Genomic DNA, 8,090 nt, shown 5'->3' on the forward strand with positions numbered 1-8,090 from the left:
GCAAGAAAGTTACATTATCAGATCTGTACTTTAGATAAGTCACTCTGGCTACTGCTAAGTGTGATATGATTCAATCAGGACAAGACTAGAGCTAAGACTAGTTGGTGGCTGTTACAATAATGTAGACAAAAAAAAAATAATGGGCCTCTACACGAAGAGCACAGCAGTAGACAGACATGAACCTTAGGCAAAACTACTATTCTCAAAGCTTCAGTTTCTTCTAATAATACCTACCTCACACAATGATTTTGAGAATTAATCATGGCATTTTTTGTATAGGTGTTCTGTATTCTCTTAGCAAAACTTTCACAAGCAATAATAATTTCACGAAACAATTCTACTTCAAAATATATCAGATACAAAGATTATTCTTATGTTTTCTCCAATATATGTAAAAAGATGCCTTAACTATTAATGAAATTAAGTCAGATTATGAAAGGTTTACTCACTTATATTTGAAAAAGTAAATTCCAACTACTAAACATCCTATTGTGCTCCATTTAATCCTAATATTAAAAGATTGGCATCATTTTTAATTTCTCTAAAAACTGAAATGTAAGTGAATTAAAGGTAGGTATCAAGTTAGTCTCACTCAATGACAAAACATGAGCATAAAACAATTTCACATCTTCACCAAACTGATACCAGCAAGTAAATGAGTTATTAACTATTTAAGAGGAAAACTAGAAAACTCTTTTGTCAGTTTTATTTACTTTGAAGTTTTGGGACCTACTAAAGTTATATCTTCTGTAAAGCTACACAATAAAAAAAAAAGATAAAAGCTCAATTTTTCCAAATCTGCTCTGAAATTCACCAATCTTTTAATACATTCTTGCCTCTACCAAAGACAATCTGATTTCTAAAGCAATCTTTATTGATAGCTTAGCAGAAAGCATTTAACTTTGGCAAAAAGGTATTGGAAATCCAGCTTTTGCTCCACCCTTTGCTTCTTGCCTGAAATACACTTAAAACATTGTAAAAAGTTATGTTCTATACTTATTTCATTGACAAAATGACTGCCCTCAGAACTGAGTTCTCCACAGAACCCTTCTTAAGGTTCCTCCCCTTGTAATTTAAGTCCATCTCTTCCTGTCATCTGCTGTACAACTATTCATAATATATGTGCTTGTATAGTGTTCATAGCCTTCTCTATTCTAGATTAAATAACAGAAATCTAACTTGCTAAGCGTCCAAACCATTCTACTGAATTGAGGGAACAAAAATCACCCTCAACTTCTCATTCCTCCTCTTCACTGATGATCTTATGTCATATTACTTTGAGAAAATAAGAACGATCAGATGTAATGTCCACCTTCCCACCCCAAAACCTACAGACCTAAGTACACTTGCACCAATATTTTCTTCTTTACCTCTTACGGCAAGAGGAAAAATCCCCTTATCTCTATCAACAGGGCAACCTACACTCCTTTATCTCCACTACTACTACCTTGGTCCAAGCTCCTGTTATCTCTCACCTGGATTACAGCCAAAATCTCCTAACTGATCATCCCATCTCTACTGTTTCCCACTTCACAACAATACTCCACATAGTAGCAAATGTGACTGTTTCAAAACATAAATCACATTATGTCACTTAAATAGTTAAAATAAAACCCAAACTCTTTACCATGGATTCTAAATCCTAGAGTTTCTAAGTATTGCTCTAATCTCATCCTGTCACTCTCCCTTACAACCATTATGTTCCAGTTACAGTGTTTTTAGTAATTTATCTGCAACATACCAGCTCTTTCCTGATCCTGGGCCTTTCATGCATTGTTCTCATATGTAAAGCTTTCTTACCCAACCATAACACAGTTAGCTATGCTTTAGGTCTCATAAACGTCCCTTCATGAAAAAGTCTTCCCCTAATTACTCTGTGCCTGTTACTCACTATCTCTGCCCCATGTCTGTTTCTTTGAGAGCACTTATTACAACTTATTCATTAGACTATAAGCTCCATGAGGGCAGAAACTATGTGCATCAGGTTTTATCTAACACAGTGCTAGACATAAGCAAGGGCTCAATAAATATTTGCTAAATGAACTAAGTGAAGAGACAGCCAGGGTTAGGCTACAATCCTGACTCTACTACTTCATACTGGTTTGACTTCAGTTAAGTCACAATATTTCTGTGTTTCAATGTTCTCTTCCATAAAACAAAAGAAAGAGTACATATCTGACAGGATTGCCAAATAAGACCTACTAAAGATTAATTGGCAATAAATAAAGACTAATCACGCATCTTTCAATGTAAGTATTAAGTACTTGTAAGTAAATAAGTGCTATTAAACTTAATTTAATGTTAGTTTCCTTCCTTCCCTTCTATAACTTAGACAGTAAGAATTCCCTAAGCTAATACAGTATTGAAATAATATATTTATATATACTTAAAAAGAAGAGACTCTGATAACATGTATTTGAATAGATACATTGGTAATTTGTATTTGCAGGATCTAATCCTAAATTTTAGAAAATGGGAATAAATAATGTACATCTATTACTTAACTCTCTCAAAAAGCAGGGAGTGATAAGGAGAAAAGAAGAAAAACAGAAAAGAAAGGTAACCTTAGAAATTAGAGATCATCAACTTCCAATTCCTAAATTTAGAACAACCTTCCTCTTCTTATAAAGACTTGCAGTAAGAACAGGATTAATATCTAAAATAAAAATATTCTATGTTTACTTAAATCTATATAATTCTCACTTATATTTCATATATATTTTTACTGAACTTTCACCCCTTAAATTGTGGTATCACTGGTAAAGTGGGGAAAAAAAAAAGGAACAACATCTCATATCAGAAACACAAAAAGGCCCTCTTGTTCCCTTAATATTTTAATAAGCTTTAAATTTTCTAATTACAAAAGTAAATCTCAACATTTTCTTTAACTGCTGCTCACTTTTCAGGCTAAAATCCCTTTTATGTTCTTCAAAAGAAATTTTACTTTCTAGGAACCTTATAAATCATTTACCATACATCATTCAAATCTCCTCCATACTCTATCTAGAATACAGTTAACAGTGCTTGTTTAATACTTTCTGCCCTGATAACCACCTAGAATTTTGTGGAATGTGCTGCCCACCTTCATATTCTCCCAAGGATATGGATATAATTTAGATTCTGAACTCAAGGAAGGGTTTATGTTAAGCAATTAATTCAATTTTATTCAACACATTTTATGTAATCAAACTTGACTTTGTAAGAAGTAATTGGTATCTGGTTTAGATTTTTCCCTCATGTTCCAGTTACTTCTACAACCTTTCTAAAATTGGAATTTCTTGTCTACCCTTAAACCAGTTATTAAGTGCTACTGAACATTCCATAAAATTCATGGGAAAAGATTCATCCATTACATATATGCAAAGTAAAAAGATTATTTTAGGCTACCACAACATCTAGAATACTACTGTGAACAGTAAAGACTCTTGACTGTAATAAGCTGAAAACCAGTTTAAAAATGAATTTTATCACAAGTCAATCAGTATATGCTGTGAACAGTTCTACGACTATCAAATGCTCTGGCAGCAAGTAACCAAAAATTAACCATCTGCAACTCTTGAAGTTTATTGTAAAATGATATACAAACAAGAAACATTCTAAATTACATTTATTTATTTATTTATTTTTTGAGACAGAGTTTCACTCGTCACCCAGGCTAGAATACAATCGTGCAATCTTGGCTCACTGTAACCTCCACCTTCCTGGTTCAAGTGATTCTCCTGCCTCAGCCTCCTGAGTAGCTGGGATTACAGGCATGTACCAGCACACCTGGCTAATTTTTGTATTTTTAATAGAGACGGGGTTTCGCCATGTTGGCCAGGCTGGTCTCAAACTCCTGACTTCAGGAGACTCACCCGCCTCAGCCTCCCAAAGTGCTGGGATTACAGGCTTGAGTCACCACGCCTGGCCTCTAAACTATATTTTAAGGCTTCATCTTGGGTAGTGTTTTTCAAGCTAAGGACTGCAATTTATTAGTGGATCCAAAATTTATTTAATGAGTCCAGACCAGCAAATGAAGAAGGGAAGGGTGAGAAAGAGGAGGAATAAATAGAAAACATCTGAGTGCACAGGTAGTTAAGAGTACGATTTCATTAACTTTTTTCTCTATGTACATAGTACCCGAAGCAATGTGTATTTTAAGGGTGGGTTTGAGTAAAAGTTAGGAAACACTAATCTGGGAGACAAACAGAAGTGGAAAGGATAAAGCAACGGAACTGTCAGAATTACCAAATTGTGGTTTAGGAGGTGAGCAAGACTAACAGCTTCTATTGACTAGGAGACAGAGGTTTTGGAAACTCCCATAGATTTGTAAAAGCGAGACATCCCTATGTGAAAAATGACAAAGCACTTTTTCCTCTTACAGTAAGCCTAGGACAATGCGTAGCAAAGCTTGTGGTTGTCACCACTGATATTTTTATCCCTTCAAACTTTCAAAGGTGGCAGAGGTCAACCTTTACTCTCTCCTAACTCTTAGGCACATTGAATGCGGTTAAGATACAGTAGCCCCTGAAAGATAATTACAGGTCCTTGAACAACTACTTCTAGAAAACATTATATTCTAGATTACAATTTAGAGTTTCAGGTAAGACTCTGGCATTCAGAAAAGTTAATTTGGAAGTACAACAGTCACATATCAGAGCCCATAAAATCGTCATCTGGAAAGTAGCACCAAAATAAACAACAAAAAATTTTTTTATGTATGTGAAATGTTTCAAAAATCTGAAGCACACCTTAGAGTCATTTCATTTAAGAGTCACTCTGTGAAGAATTAATATTGGAGTTCCCTAAATATTGGCCAATCAACCTGCTTTTCTTTGTTAACAGTGATTGTGAATATTCAGTTTCATTAACAGAGCTAATTATTTTTGAAGCCTTTTAAAACACACACACACTTTTTACTGTATAGAGGACAGTTTCATAAATTACAGCTAGTATCTGTTCTAACAGGCTCAAGGCGACAGCTATTTCTCAGGATGCATCCACCACCCATTACAACTACTATATATTCTAAGTTACTCAATTCCCACTATTGTTATAGAACCACATCCACCCCATACTATTGTTACAGCCCTTTTTCACTATTATAAACCCACATATGGTTAGAGACAGAAGAGGACAAAAAACATGCAGCCATAAAGAGGATTTCTCAGTTCCAGGGTGAAGGGTTCCCTTTAATCTCTGCTGATATAGTTTAATGTTCTGCCTGGTTCACTACCTCCTTTTTTTTTTTACACTTTGAAACCTGCTGTGGCTTGAGACATCAACCTTTGGCATAATCACCTGCTGGTTTTATAATCTGCGGCCCACACTGTTGGAAAAAGGAGTTTCAGTCTTTGCTTACTAACAATTTGTGTTCCTCACTGAACACAAATTCCAAAAAGATAAAAGCTTTGATAGGCACCTACCAGAAAGTCACTTTGTGTACAAGTACTAAAGAATGCACCAAAACAAATTGAGGGGTTCACAGCCTCTTATCCCTCGAGGCAAAAGACTTCTAGTTCAAACACTGATGACACAGGTTTTAATGAAAGAAGAGCCCATTTATTTATCTATTCTGATCGGACATCACAGAAATTCAATGCTTATTATAGTAGAGGACAAAGCTGGACAATCCTAATCACCCTAAATTAAAGATACCTCTCAATTTCTTCTCTCTCCTGGGCCATTACACCAAACCTAGAGCAGAACTATACCCACCTTCAGGGCAGAAGAAACAACGTAATAGCTTATTGATCTCTGGTGTAGACCCAAACCCACAAGTCATCAGGCAAGCAGGGATTACAGCCACTTGATGCAGCTAACAATCAAAAGTCGTGTACTGGGTTTTTGGTCCCACACAAGCACACCTCTGGCAATTACCCCTACATAAAAAATGGACCAAACTACTCTCCTCACCAAAACAAACAAAAATACTACTAATCAGGTACGGGAGCAACACATCCTTAATTGTACCAAAAAGAATTTCTTGGCTGTCAGTAAATGCCCAATTACGTTCATTAATTCTTCATTTAGCGTCACTTGCCAGGTTTCAAAAGCCACCATCACATTCAATTCCGTAGATAAATGCCTTCAAAAGAGATAACACTTGCTGACAAATTGGCTGTTGACTAAACCTCACCACCACCACCATTATACTAGTCAAATCAATGTTTGTGGCAAATGAATTAGACTTTTTATAAGTAAAATTTACCAAAGTAATGATATCTTCTAATTCTTTTTCTGGAGAAATCAGAGCAACACTCCAAAAAGGAAAGGTTAAAACTGAGCTCTCTGAAATACCTATTCAGTGTGTTTAACTGATGAACTAAGAACGGTGAAGTCAGAAGTGTAACTTAATTATCTTAAGAGATAGATGTTCTTTGCAATTAATTCCATTCAGCTCTTGCTCAGACCCCAACGCAATATAAAGCTGTCCGCACAGTCTTCAGCCTTCTCTTAACCCGAAAGGAGTTATCTCTAACCCGATCCATCGACTGGAATAAAGTAACAGTGACCACAGCGGCGGACGAGGATGGATGAAATTACAATTGAACTAGGAGTCAGGACAGATGTGTACACCCTAACAGGAGAGACTGAGGTGGGGCTGGAAACTATTTTCTGGCCTTCTCCCGCGTGCTGCTCCCGGGGAACCAACAGGACCCTGCACGCCCGGATTCGGCAGAGCCCTTGCCCCCGAGGTGGAGTGGGGAGAAGTCAGCGGGAAGCCTTTTCAGGGAATCGAGTAGGACAAGGGCTGGCGCGGTGGGAATCTCGCCGGTGAGAGAACTTCCTAACCCCGGGTTGAGGGGGCGGGGGGAAGGACCGTCCCGGCAGCGGCGGGGGCGAGCTCCTCTGCTTTCTCACAGTCAAGCATCTTTGTGTGTGGATTGTGCCAGGCTACGGGTCCTGGAGCAACTGGCCGCGGGGGCCCTCGAACCCAGGTCGGGAAGTCCGCCCGCCACCCCCTCGCTCCGCCGGGGCCCTCCCGGCCGGGCCCCCCAGCCCCTCTCCACCACCCGAGGGTCTGGAGGTGGACGAGTGGAGAAAAGCATCTCCGTGTGGGGACACCCGTTCCGCCACATCCACCCCCTCACCGGTCTTTGTCCCGCCGGTAGCCAGGGTCTCCGCGGGAGTCTCCAGGGGAACCCCCGTCCTGGAGGCCTCGGGGCCCGGGTCGCCTCAGCTTTGTTCGGTCAGCGGGGCGCGGGGACGCGGACACTTACCGTACACCCCAGCGAGGAAAAGCAAGAGCAACGCAGACCTCCACCGCGGAGACTCTTTTGTGCTCCAGCGACAGGCCATAACCACAGCAGATGGAGAGAGAGAGGAGGAGACGGAGGAGGAGGGAGGAGAAGCTGGAGGTAGACGACGCCGACGCCGCCGCCGCCGCCGCCGCCGCCGCCGAGCCACCGGCTGCTCCCTGCGCTCTCCGCGGCTGCGGGAGGGGGAAGGGAGGGGCCGCCGCCGCCCGCGCGCGCTCCCTCCTCCCTCCTCCCTCCGGCTCGCCTGCTCCCACCCCGGGCGGTGCGAGAGCCCCACGCGGGGCGGCCCTCCTGGGGGCAAGGGCAAGGAGCTCGCGCGCCAGCGCGAGACGAGAGGGTGGCGGACGCCGGACTCCGGCCTCGCGCCGCTCGGGCTAGCCGGCGCCGCCACTCGCCAGACTGAGCGCGCGCCCATCCGTGCGATCGGCAATCCCCTGGCCCGCCTGCCTCGGTTCCCTCCCCGCGCTCCGCTGGACTTTCCAAGTTTCGGGCCGATTTCCACGCGACGGGAGCCCAAGGAGCAAGGCAGCGCCAATCGATGACAGAGCGTGCGAACGCCGGCTGCTGGATGCCCAGGGGCTGGAGCGCGGGGTGTGTGGAGGAGCACGGTCGCTGTCCGAGGGCTGGGCTCTGGCCCAGCGGGTGGGGGGAGGGGGGGTGGGATACCAGCTGGGAGGCTGAAGGTGGTTCCGTGTTGGGGGAGGCGTGGATGGTCTGAAGCTGACAACTTGGGAGTTCCTTCCTCTATCCGGTACCCCCAAGTCTCCACTTGCTGTCGGCGCGGAGCTTCGAGTGGGGGTGGGCTCAAGTTAGTGCGGCCAACCTGGCAGCTGGTCGGTCAAGGGGCAG

General features: G+C 42.0%; 1 protein-coding gene across 2 annotated transcripts in view, besides 2 other annotated features; it reads right to left on the bottom strand.

Annotated features, from left to right (window-relative positions):
* Positions 1-7,642, bottom strand: part of LRP12 (LDL receptor related protein 12) — a 100,023-nt gene extending 92,381 nt beyond the window's left edge. For both annotated transcript variants that reach the window (NM_001135703.3, NM_013437.5), the window contains exon 1: positions 7,203-7,642. In NM_001135703.3, the coding sequence (NP_001129175.1) occupies positions 7,203-7,281 (79 nt within the window). In that variant the 5' untranslated portion in view covers positions 7,282-7,642. The remainder of the gene's footprint in view (positions 1-7,202) is intronic.
* Positions 6,801-6,910: a silencer, noted in NCBI's record as "silent region_19460". NCBI's record gives its function as "represses an Ori minimal core promoter by ATAC-STARR-seq in GM12878 lymphoblastoid cells {active_cell/tissue: GM12878}" and the evidence as "EXISTENCE:reporter gene assay evidence [ECO:0000049][PMID:35858748]".
* Positions 7,341-7,680: a silencer, noted in NCBI's record as "silent region_19461". NCBI's record gives its function as "represses an Ori minimal core promoter by ATAC-STARR-seq in GM12878 lymphoblastoid cells {active_cell/tissue: GM12878}" and the evidence as "EXISTENCE:reporter gene assay evidence [ECO:0000049][PMID:35858748]".

This window comes from Homo sapiens, chromosome 8 (genome assembly GCF_000001405.40).
Source record: "Homo sapiens chromosome 8, GRCh38.p14 Primary Assembly".
Taxonomy (NCBI): Eukaryota; Metazoa; Chordata; class Mammalia; order Primates; family Hominidae; genus Homo; species Homo sapiens.